At 37.6% G+C, this 13,223-nt stretch overlaps 1 protein-coding gene across 8 annotated transcripts in view; it reads left to right on the top strand.

The window, feature by feature from the left end:
* DGKI (diacylglycerol kinase iota) overlaps nucleotides 1–13,223 on the top strand; it is a 465,938-nt gene that overhangs the window by 324,013 nt on the left and 128,702 nt on the right. For all 8 annotated transcript variants that reach the window (XM_047421022.1, NM_001321708.2, XM_047421021.1 and 5 more), the window contains one exon: nucleotides 996–1,096. In XM_047421022.1, coding sequence (XP_047276978.1) covers nucleotides 996–1,096 — 101 coding nt within the window. The remainder of the gene's footprint in view (nucleotides 1–995; nucleotides 1,097–13,223) is intronic.

The following is a 13,223-nucleotide window of genomic DNA, read 5'->3' as shown; positions in this document are numbered from 1 at the left end:
GGTGACTTTTGTCACCATTTAATATAAAAAAAAAGAGAAGCCTCTGTATGAGAAAATTCTCTCAACCAATGAAATCCCAGTATAAGGTCGTATTGAAAGACAAGTAGGTATTTTGTTATATTAATATATTGAAGAAATGTATTGACCCATCGTGGTGGTGATGAAAACCAAATTATTCCACTCAACTAATGCCCAAGATTAAACCACTTTCAAAATATCGCTTAAGAAAATCAAGGAGTCGAGTTACAGACATTTGGGGAGTGAATAGATGTTCAGAAAGTTTGGTGCTGCACCATTTTATTGCTTAATATGTGTCTGGAGTCAGTATGCATTGAATTCTTTCAAAATGAGTTACGCACTTCATTCTCTTCCTAAAGAAAGGACACTGTACATATTTAAACATTTTTCTTCATTTTGGAATGCTCAGAGCCACCATTACAAGCAGTGTTTATTGCAATATGCTTTGACTGAGAGGTGCTGTCAAAAGAGGCTATTGAGCTGTGTAGAGCTACTTCGGTCTCAACCCTGTGGCTTCTGGACTCTTGGTCTGCTTTTTAAAGATAGTTTTTCCATCTCTCTGAGGGTCAGGCTGCCCCTGACCATGTCTTACTGTGATGTGCATATCTGCCTGTGGTTCTTAAAGCTCCACTCCACCTCCCACTATTTCAGATTTGCTGAATCTAATTTATTATGTAACAAGCACATGATCTTATTAAATGTTTTAAAAAATCAATAGAAAATACGATATAAAAGTGGGCTCCAAAGGCTCTTTTTGCATATTTCTATATTCTTATGTAAATTCCAGAAACTTTTGGTTTCTGGAGAAGTGTTCTCCAGATCACTGTTCAATTCTGATAAGGAACCCACCTTTCTGGTTTGAATGTGAACTCTTCCTTCTAAACATGAAGAGACAATATTGCCCTTATTCCTTCAGGTGCATGGCTACCAATTCCGCTCTCTCATTTGTATCTGACCACTCGGTTCTTGTTTTGCAGTCCCCAGTCTGTCCCAGATCGTCTGAGGATCCGGGTGAACAAAATCAGTTTACAAGACTATGAAGGATTCCACTATGACAAGGAGAAACTCCGAGAAGCTTGTAAGTTGGAAGTGCCTCATTGATTTCATGCGATCAGCCTATCTTCAGCTTCTTGATCCTCCTTGGTTTGATGGGTAGATTCATTTATCCTTGTGCCTGAAAATCATGGTTAGAGAAGTGAAGTGAAACACAGTAACATGTGGGCTCCAAGTGATAATGTATGGGCTACAGAAAAAGGAACTGGAAAAGGAAAGCAGCTGAATAAAATCATTCTGCTGTGGATGCCAAGTCAGGATCTCTTGGCTTATTCGCCACTTTAGTCTCAGATTTGCCTAAAATGAGGAAAGCAAAAAGTTCGTGATACCAATGGTATAGCACCATCCAGAAAACTCTTGAGACAACACAGATCTCTTCTTGGAGGCTGCGTTATCAAACACTGCCCTCATTCGTCACAGAGATGTGGCAAAGAGGCACATTCAGCACTTCTAGATATTATGCTATTATATAATGTCAGAGAAGGGCCTACGGGAATGTTGTGATATTAAAGTGATTCATTGATGATGAGGTGCCATTATTTTTGAAACCTGCACTTGAGTCGACGTATGAATTACTTCTCAAAGTTTGTATTTTCTGTATGCTTCTTTGAATACATAGCTAATTGTTAGTTCATCTCACTAGTCAATCAGTATGTATTGGACACTTTTTACAATCTGGTACATTCTGATCACTGCATTAAATCTGTCTGTATAATAATTTATGAGGTAATTGGTTAAAATAAGCCAGAAGTTAAGACCATGAGAGTGTTAGATATTAGGGTTCTCGGCTCCTTCCTAATTGTGGGGGCCAATAGTCAACTGCAATAAAGTCAAAGAAGATAAGGAAAACTGGTGTCCAAGGGAATAGGCAATGATGCTGATATAAAGAAATGACTTTTATATGGAACCAAAGACTTACGAACCCAGTCCCCAAATGGTCTCTAAGTGTAGACCTGGCTACCTGTGTAAAAGAGGAAAATAGTTAGAACTGGCAGGATTAATAGTAGGAAAGCCTTCCTGGGATGGTCTTTTCTGAGCTCTGGTTTCTGAGACTGATCTGAAGTAAGCTTTAGTGGATGGAAATTCTGAGGTCCAAGGATAATCCCAGGGGTGGGTACAGAGGGTTCTACAATCTGGAGTTGCCACGAGGTGAGGAGCCATATCCCTGGTAGCCTAATCACTGAATCTACTAGAGAATTTGCTGTGAATTTTCTTTCTTAATTCTCTCAGCTGCTTCAGCTTCCTAAACCCTTTATGTTGTTTTCCTTAGACATCAATATCTTTTAATTTCTCCCCAGCCTTCTCACTTCCATACTTTACCCTCATTTCCTTTTATAGGAAAGTGTGAGCTGGAGGAGGAGCAATTCCCCAAACCTCTGAATTTCTTCCTTCTGTAAACAACATATTACATTTTCTAATCTAAGTGAACTTATAAGCGACAGACTAGCATATAATCTGTTTGATCCATAAAGTGTTAGACATATATTTTTGCGATGGGAAGTGTAGCTACAATGCAAATTAAATTGAGTTCTAAAGGTTACTAATCATAAAGAACAGTGTTTTATGTTCTTTCTTGTTTGAAGCTTCCAAACAAATAGCTAACAGTTCTTAAAAGAAGATAACAGATCTCAAATAATATTTTGCAGCTTACGATCAACTCTGAAGAAATTCAATTTGGAGTGGGGACACATTTGAAATTTTTAGCTGAAATGAGATTTGAAGCTTATTTATAGCTTTCAATTATCTGTTTTATCTTTTCTGTGGCATTATCTGTCTACCATTCCTGGAGGTAATTGTGGTTTGAGGTTTTCCAACAAGATGACATTTTCTGGCAAGGGCTTTACTCAGCATATGTGATAAAATTTCTATGTGAAGAAACTTCTTAAGTCAAATATGGCATAAATGTAAGCCAAATAAATTGAACAGTGTCTTTGGGACCCCAAAGAACACATATACTCTCTAAAAGGGGATAAAGGAGTTATTCTAAAGATGTAAAAATTCATTCCAATGATTTGGATTTGAAGAAAACAATAAAAGAATTGGAATTAAAAGTGACCAACTCAATCATTCTACTTTTAATATGCGGTGATGGTGCTTCTAACTGTGGTTTTTCAGGAAAGTTTATCCTTTGAGGTTCTGGATTCACTCCTACTAACCTTTACTCTTTTGCCTGGTTCCAACTTGAAACAGAATACAGATTCATGGGAAGGCTGACAGGGCTCAAACTGAGTATAAAGACAAAAGCAAGCTTAAGTCCATATATGAGGTGCATGCCAAAATAAATGTTATTTCAGAAGCATTAATTAAGTGAAATTTGCACAACACATCTAGATAAAAGGGACTCTAGGAATGTACTCTGACCTGCATCCCAGAACAAAGAGAGTGAATCCTCTTAGGTCATTCATTTATTGTCATCAATGACTGACCTAGAGCAGTAGCATGGTACTGCGTTTGAAGTTAGTTCCATTTCTTGATGGTGTGCCAAGTGATATCTTCAGGCAGCATGTGGTTCTTTTCCATCACTGTTTAGCAGAATCTTGCTCATTGTTCCCGTTAGATAACAAGCTCGCATGTTTGTCACCTAACAAAGCCCATCTTCCGTCCATAATGCAGGGCTCCCTGACAATAATGGATGGCAGCCCTTTAAATTGCTTTGCTTATTTTAGCACAGAGAAAGAGGACTATACTCTTTCAGATATTTCCCATTCCTCTTCCACTTAGCCCCATCTCACTGGGGGGCAATCCTTCTAAAATAATATCCCGGAAAAATTTAGTCCTTGTCAATCTTTCCCTCAGCTCTTGCTGGTAAATTTCAGACTTATGTAAGACACTAAAAGTCTTCCTCACTCCATAGGATTTATCAACCCTCAGATAATAGTTGTGGTTTGCAAGAGGGGACAGTCTATTCAACTTAAGAGGTAGAACATAAAGAGAAAGTGGCCATATTAAAAAAATTAAAGCAAATCTGTAATAATGATATCAGAAAATCACTCTCATAAACAGAAGTATACAAGTGGGTCCTTAATAAAGCTTATAATCATATAATCTAGGCAAAGGATGATCTGTTTTTAAAAATCTGTTGTATTTCTAACCCCAGAAGAGATTCACTGACACATGATATATTTTTTAAAAATCTGAGATAACTTGATATTCCCCCAAATTTAACTCTGTTCCCATGCAAACTGGTTAAACTTCAGTTTGAGCACCAGTTTATTCTGCACTTTTAAATTGCCATGATAATTTACACAGATCTAGGGTTTAAAACACAAGCAGTAGAAACCAGCTTGAAGCCAATTGAAAACAGATGTAGTCTATAAGGATAGGGAATTAACATTTGTTGTATATCAAATACAGTGTTTGACAATGCTTTTACATACATGATCTCAGTATAATTCAGTATTATCTGGATGTTTATAACATGTAATGCATAATATATCAATAAATAGGGTAAAATCCTAGTATCGTTAGTGTTAACCAAACTAGGTATTTAGTTAAGCATTTGCCCTAATGGAATTTCCTTGTTTGGTGATTTAGTAGAAAAGTCAGAAATTTTGGTGTTTGAATCTCAGTTGAAACCTTGACAAAGTCATTTAATTTCTCTGATGATCAAATCTCTCATCTGTAAAATGAAAATATAATTATAACCCCATTCAGTGCTGAGGGTTAAATGTAATGCTGTATATGGAACCCTTGGTGTGAAGTCTGGCACATTAGTGTGCTCTCCAAAAATGGTAGCTATGATGCTTGTGGTGGTTGTTGTTAGAGAGGCCCTGCTGTCATACTGCTCATCAGTCTTCAAGTCCATAAAACCAGACTCAAAGTAGGTCATAGAGGCTGACTTCCTCTATGTAGAACTCTTCCTGGCTTGAGGCAGCTCACTTCAAACTGCACACACCACCACCCTCCAACTCACTTTCTTACTTTCAAAAATAGAATTGAAAATACTGGTAAATATCACAGAAAGATTATGGGAAGAAAGTGTAACTAAATCATTCAATTTACTTTTATTGTGTCTACTTGTGTAAACATCTGCTGTAATGACAAGATACTTAAATCTATGAAGCATGTAAATACTGAATGCCCATATAGGATGATCTGAACGTTTACCTGCAAATTTCCTTCCTTAAGTCCTAATACATTCTCTTAAGTGTGTCATCTGTTATCCACCACTGAATTTTTTGCAACAAATTTTTATTTTGGAATAATTTTAGATTTACAAAAAAGTTACAAAGGTAATACAGGGCATTCCTGTGCATTCCTCCCCCAGTTTTTCTCATTGTTAAACACTTTACATTACCATGGTGCGTTTGTCAAGGAAACTGATATTGCTACATTACTATTAACTAAACCTTTGGAATTTCTATCCCAGGATCAAATCTAGGATACCATATTGCATTGAGTTGTCATAGCTCCCTAGTCTCTTCTGATCTGTAACCGTTTCTCAGCGTTCTTTCTTTTTTTATCTTTCTTTCTTTCTCTCTCTTTCTCTCTCTTTCTCCCTCCCTCCCGCCCTCTCTCTCTCCCTCTTTCTTTCCTTCTTTCTTTCTTTCTCTTTCTTTCTTTCTTTCTTTCTTTCTTTCTTTCTTTCTTTCTTTCTTTCTTTCTTTCTTTTTCTTTTCTTTCTTTCTTTCTTTCTTTTTCTTTTCTTTCTTTCTTTCTTTCTTTTTCTTTTCTTTTCTTTACTTTTCTTTTCTTTTCTTTTTCTTATGACCTTGATGGTTTTGGGGGAATACTGCTTCCTGTAGAATATCTTCCAATCTGGCTTTGTCTGTTGTTTTACTCATAATTACACTGGATTTATGGGTTTTTAGAAAGAATACTGTAGAGGTGAAGTAGGCTTTTTGCCCCATCATGTCAAGACTTATGTGATATACACATGACATCCCTGGTGATGTTAACCTGATCATTTGGTAAAGGTGGTATTTGCCAAGTTCCTTCACCATAGACTTACAATTTTTTCCCCTTCCCTACTCTATTCTTTAGGAATAAGTCACTAAGTCTAACCCACTTTCAAAATGATCAGAGGAGGTGGATCAAGATTTTTTAAATTGTTTCCAGTTTGCATATTTGAGCTCAACTGAATTTGTTAACTATGCCAAAATGGTAGAGCCATTCAACCATTCATGCATTCATACTTTCAATAATTACATGTTTGCATCAGTTATATGTCAGATACCACACTAGATGTTAGTCATTGAAAGATGAAACTAGAAAATCCAACATTATAACATAATTTATTCAGTGTACCTTTATTGAGTCCTTACCGTGAGCAGGGGTTGGAAGAAAAAAAAACAACAGAATTCGTTCCTGATTTTCTGGAGCTTTTTTTCTTTTTTTAAAAAATGTGATAATAACTGTGATGGGGCTATGGAAACATTCTGTACCTATTTTTCTAGCAAACGTCATTTAAATAATGAAAGAAAGATAAAATATATAAGCAAGAATGAGAAAATCCAGTCTAACCACTAATTAAGTGTGTGACCTTGGGCGATGCATTTGTCTTCTTCAGGCTTCTGTTTCCTTATCTGTTAAATGCAGTAGTTAAACTAGACATTTCTTAAGAACAGATTATAATATAATAAATGTTTAGTTTTATAGAAATTACACAGGATTAAAAAATTTTTCATCAGCATATTTCCTTAGTAGAGTTTTTAAAGCTCCAACATCATTCATAATGAGTATAAGCATTAGAAACCATGTAAGTACATTGTGCTTCAAGAGTTTGCTAAAAACACTGATTTTTTTTCCCTATCAATAGCTTCATCTAAAATTGAATCTTTCCCCCTCATTTAACAAGTTGACAACAGGGCTGTTCAGTAGAGATTAGGCCTCCATTTGGTGGAGGTAGGCTTTCCAAGTTGAAATCTGTCTGAGGAGTTAAATGATGTCAATTTGTCCTCTGAAGGGCATTGTCCTTCCTTTTTGCAAGTGTGTTTATGTTTATTCCTATTTTCACGATTTGACATTTACCCAGAGTTTCGTGCTTAGTTTCTTTTACTGTCTTTTCCCATCTCTTGTCTGTCTCTTATATTTATCATTTTATTAAAAATATAATAATAATAATGGTTAACACACATCGTACTATTGCTGTGAGCTAGGAAATGCCTTTTTTACATATATTGTGTAATTTAACTCACCCGACATCTCAGTGTGATAGATAGTACTGTTATTCCCATTTCACATATAAAGCAATTGAGGCACAGAAAACTCAGACAGTCTAAGGGGCTGACATTTTGAATACTTATTTAATCACTGTGTTTTCTGCTTCCTCCAAGTAGTACTTCCTATTTTTCATATAAATGTCTTTAATAACATAAGTAAAAATTTACATGTCAGTCTTTCACAATTCCATTTCAAATGTCTTCTTACATTTAAACTGACTTTGACTTAGTTTATCACACTCAGGTTTGTTGGACAAGTTTCTGTTTTTGGATCTTCCTCCAACCTCAAATCAGCCATTCATAAATTCAACAAATATTAATTGACTGCTTACCTTATTTCTAGTACTATTTCAAGTATTTCTAGTACTATTTCAAGATACAGAAAAGTGCTTGCCCTGGAACTTATGTTCCAGTGGAGAGACAGACAATTGAATAAATAATACAATATGGCAGCAAGTGCTATAAAGGAAAGTAAAGCAGAACAGTGACAGAGGATCCTGTTTTTGATAAGGTGGTCAGCAAGAGACTTTCTGAAGAAGTGACATTTAAAGAGAGACCAGAACAAAAAGAGTGCATGTATATGTGGATTTCTAGAAGAGTATCCCTGGGCAGAGGAAATGGCAAGTTCCAAGGCCAAGCATCCTTAGTATATTTAATGAATGTCAGGGATGTCCATGTGACTGGAACCTGCTTAGTTGAATGGAGATAGTCAGGAAGTTCTTTTAAAGGGTCAGCACATGGAGGGGGCTTATAGGCCATGGAGAAGGCTTTGGATTTTATTCAAAGTGTAATGAGAAGGTGTTGGAACTACTTGAGGAGTGTATCATGCCTGAATTTATTCTAGATAAATTTGGCTACTAGGTAGAACATTTTCAGGTTGCAATGATGGAAATAGGGCAGCAGGTACCAGGCTAATGTGATACTCCAGGTGACAGGCAATAGGAATGAGAGAGTTAAAGTAGTAGAGTTGGAGAGAATCAGTTGGATTCTGGCTACATTTTGGAGGTAATGCTGGTAGGATGAGATGATGGATTCGCTGTATTGCATAAGAGTGTAAAATTCAGTTGCCTCTGATGTTTTGACCTTGGCAACTTGGTAAATAGAGGTAGGGAAGATGCAGAGGATTCAGCAAAGGAGACCAAGAAGGAGCAATACCAAGGAGGAGCCTATGGTTAGCTACAAAAACAGCAGGAGAGCTTGTTCATTGGAATCAGAGAGAAAAATAACTCATAAAAGCTGTCTAGCTGTCAGCGTTTCAGAGAAGTTGAGTAAGATGCACACTAAGAATTGGTAGTTGGATTGGAGTAGAGGGTAGTTAGTGGTAGCCTCACGAGATTGTGGAGTGAAAAATGTGAAAGTGCATAGAGAGGATTCGTGTGCAAATAGGGTCAAGTGAATGTCAGATGTGAGCTGCATAATGACATCTTGATCAATGATGGACTGCATATACAACAGTGGTCCCATAAGATTTTATTTTATTTTATTTTTTTTAATTCTTCAGCTAAAACCGCGGAAGAGGTGATTTATTATATGGTTGTTACACTCGGCCACAAATAAACACAGAAATAGTCCAGAATGTCACAGGTCCAGGGCAGAGGACCAACATGGGCATTTTGTTCATGAGCAAGGTGGGTCTCAGAGGTGATCGGCGATCAGAGGGCGATGAAGTTCTAGATCCATTGAGACAAGCTCTAGACAGTAGCATGCAGTCCCACAACTTGTACCAGCATCCCCAGCGTCTGGCATTCCATGTTTCTGCTCCTGTGGCCTCCACGGTGCAACAAGCTAGCGGTTTACTTGGACCTCTGCCTCATCTTTCTTCTTTTGCGCTTCAGCCTGCGCATTCGCTTCTTCCTCCACTTGGCTCTCATGGCGCAGAGGTTTCCAAAAAAATGGCGCTAAGGCCGAGAGCAAGATTTTAATACCATAGTTTTACTGCACCTTTTCTATGTTTAGGTATTTTAGATACCCAAATGCCATTGTGTTACAATTGCCTGCAGTATTCAGTACAGTAACATGCTGTACAGGTTTGTAGCCTAGGAGCTACAGGCTATACCGTATAGCCTAGGTGTGTAGTAGGTGATTCCACCTAGGTTTGTGTTAAGTACACTCTATGATGTTCACACAATGAAGAAATCACCTAACGACATGTTTCTTAAAACACATCCCTTTCATTAAATGACATATGACTATAATTCACCACAGATTGCTCTTTTAAGGTATTTAACTATAAAACTAAGGAAAGAAATGGGATGATGACTATAAAAGAATATAGTAGAATCAAAGGAGGATTCTTTTTTTTAATTTGTAAGATAATACAGCAAGTGTGTATGCTGGTGGGACCAATTCACTAGAGAGAGAACTTGATTCAGAAGAGGGCCAAATGCAGGAGCAGTGCCTTCGAGTAGGTGGTAAGATGGAACCTGGTGAGCAATAGAAGGTTGTGGGCAGGAATGTGGGGCAGGTTCTCCCGAGTACAGCCAGAGAAGGCAGAGGAGGGAGTACAGATACAGATAGCTTGGTGTACTTGGTGCTAGGGAGAAACAGAAGTTCTATTCTGATTGCTTTTATTTTCTCAGGAAAAGAAGAAGCAAGCTTACTAGTTGAAAGTTGGAAATGGATAGTATCAGTGTTCTGGAAAAAAAGAGGAAGGTTTGAAATAGCTTGAGGAGAGAGACAGTGACAGGGTTCGGCAGAATTGCTGACCTTTACTTTGGAAATGGATGATTGAATTCATTGTTTTTTTGTAAGCACATAGAGCCTGACTTGCCGGTTTCTGGCTGTCTTGGTTTATAGATGAGCCTACTCTATGTCTTTCTAATTTCAAAGGACTCTGATACCCGGGGAATATTGGGCCAAAATATGATCTTATTATTAATATAAACTTTTTTGCCATCTAATTCTGTTTATGACCTAAAGGCTTTCTTTCTTTATAAGAAAATAAAATATGCTCTGGTGCTGTGCTATATTAGAAGTTAATAATGTTAGATTTCAGACAAAGAACTGGGCCTAAAATGATGATGATATTTGATCCTTCCTTCACTGTTAAAACTTAGCCTTTGGCAATGAGAGCAATCAATTGCAGGTAGATCCTTAAGTCTCTGCCCAAAATAATATTTTCTCTTTTCATTGGTTTATTTTATGTAACACATACTCAAAATTATGGCCAACTCTTACTATTTATAGACCAGCCTAGTCCATTTGGTTGCTGTCTTACCAGGTTGACAACTCTGGAATGTAAGCTCAGATGGTAGTTAGACTTCCCTTTGAAGACTTTCTTCTAAGATCTTTGTATAAAATTATTACTTTCATTCATCTTGCTAAGGTTTGAGTAGTGCAGTGTTGGCCATTGCAGAGTCACAACTATCCTGTTTAATAATAAATAATAACATCCAATCATTGCATAGGGCTTCATGGTTTACAGAGGGCTGTTGTATACACTGGCCACATGCATCATTACAAGGACACTTAAGATTGCCTTGCACAGGGTTACATTGCTGTGGTGGGATTTTAATAAGAAATTATATATTTTCTCTCTTAATCCAGGGCACTTTCTAGTATACAGCCTACTTCTTTATAAAGACAAATTTAAAAGAATTTGCGGTCATAGGTCTTGTCATCATTTGAGTTTCTGGGGAAACAGACTGTGAGACTGAGTTTTGTGTACAAGGGTTTTATTGAGGATTTCCCAAGACGGAACCACAGCTGTGCAGGGCAAGAAAAGTGGGACCAGGAAGAGGGAGATGTTGAACTTTGCTGTAGTCACAACTGAGGACTCCCACAGGGACCTTTGGACCTGGGACAGCCATTTTGAGTTTTCTAAATTGAGGCAAGGGTTATTGGACACAGATCAGGCTCTGCCCTGGAAGGGGATAAACCTTGAGTGAGGTAGCAGCCTTTCTGGAGAAGGACTCAGCTGTGCGCTATCAGCAAACTTTTAGCCTCTGGGAAAATGAGTGCCTCAATCCTAACATGAATGCATTGCTTCAGTTCCGAAAGCAGAGTCTTGCTATGTATTAATAACCTGATTTTTGAACTAAGGCCAAGAAAGAGCCACCCACATACCAAAATCCTTGAGTTCATTCATTCAACTCTTCATTTAACAACGATCTATTGAACACCTACTATGTATCAAAGACTGTTCTAAGTGCTGGAAATTCAGCTTCAGTGAGTGCTAGCTCTGAAGTGTTTCTCTTGTTATATCTTTTAACCTGATTTCCCTGCTATGCCAAATTCAGGGAATTGGAGTACAAGTTGATTATTCAGAAGTGTCTGAATTAGCAAAGTAAAATGGAAACCTAAAAGGTGAATGCTGACCTTTCCTTAAAAGTTCTTTCTGATGAATTATTGCCAAGCCAAATATTCTCCATTTGGAATTTGAGTAATTAAAAGTGGAAACCTGAATATAAAGCCACCTCAATTTCTGGCTGTCACTTCTAGTCTGACGCTATAGTCAGCAGAGAAAACTTCAGAGTTTGATTCTCAATGGGATGTGTATTTTTTATATATTCATTTCTTCCTTCACTGTTAAAATGTAGCCTTTGCTAATAAGAGCAATTCATTGATTGAACTAAACAGAATCAAGGGCGGAAGTGTAAGCTAATCTGAAAATAACATCTTTGCAGATTGACTCAGAACCACAATTTTATGCACTAGTTACGTGGATAAAAACTTCAGGCTTTCCCTAGTTCACACTGGTGGAAAACAGTCTTTCTCAGTACCGAGTGGGTTTCCTGAATCACTGGTCCACTGCCAGTCTCCTGGAGTCATCTGTAAGCAGAATTAGAGATGTCCCCAGGCTGTCAGCTGCTAGGGATGTCTTTGTTTGAGACTGCCCTATTTCACATCTCCTCATAGAAGCTGTCCATGTATAATTTGTTTATTCATTTTATTTCCCAAAAGAGGCTTGGGGCCCCTTCAGCTGATTTTAGAAAATTTTTCTGTCATGAATTCTTCACATGTATCTAATCAACTCAGAAATTCCAGGCTGCATGACTGAATGTGTCCCCAGCATCTAGTTGTTGGTGACCTTGACCATCACCCTGCAGTGTAACAGACAGCATGATGTAGAAATTGTGAAAGAGATTTGGACCAGTGTATCTAATCATCATTTCAAGTATTGAAGTTTTAGGTATGGTTGTGAATCTTTCCTTTCAGACATGTAATATTTCATCTTGATTTTCAGATGTATCTGGCTAGCCTGGCCATGTAGCCAAGATTCCAGTGTCACAGTCAAGCCTTTGTTATCTCCCTCCCAAGTACTTGAGCACTGGTAGTAAATATCAGTAGTGGTTCTTTCTGTGTCTAAGAATTTTACGAATATTCATTTCCATTGTCAAGGGCATGCTAGGACCTCACAGTTAAAAGCTTATATCACATTTAACACCAGGAATAATTGCCAAAAGATTATATACATCATCTTGTTGTACTAGTACTTTATTGCATGCAACATTAGGAACCTTCTTTGAAATGGAATTATCTTCATCAAAAGTAGGCATTTACATCATTGTCATTAAACTTACATATTCAGTTGGACAAGGATGACATGTCATAGCACTATTTGGTCTGGACCTTTGGTTCCTACTATGTATTAGAAGAGAAGTATGTGGGCCTTCTGCCCATACTTGCTCCTGGATAACCACGGTCAATGCGTGAACCGCAGTCATCAGAAGTAGGAAAAAGGCCATTACGAACAGCATCCATGATTGGATCTCATGCTCCACCTGACAACTTTTGTCTTTGTTCAGAAGACCAGGCTTTAACATCTCCTTTTTTTTTCTCCCTGGGATTTTCTTTCTCATTTCTGCTTTTCCATTTATCATGTCATGAATGCCAAAGATTTGGAAAGAGAAAAAGAAAAGGATCTGTTACTAACTCCTGAGGGGTTGTGGGCTGGGCTTCGATGGGCACCTGGAGAGTGTAGTGTTCCCTTTCATTCTCTTTCTTCTGTTCTTTCTTCTCCAGCCTTCAGAATTTTCTTTCCCCAATTCT

The sequence above is a fragment of the Homo sapiens genome, chromosome 7 (genome assembly GCF_000001405.40).
Source record: "Homo sapiens chromosome 7, GRCh38.p14 Primary Assembly".
NCBI lineage: Eukaryota > Metazoa > Chordata > Mammalia > Primates > Hominidae > Homo > Homo sapiens.
Note: the sequence above shows the minus strand (reverse complement) of the source record. Positions and strands in the feature narration are given on the sequence as shown.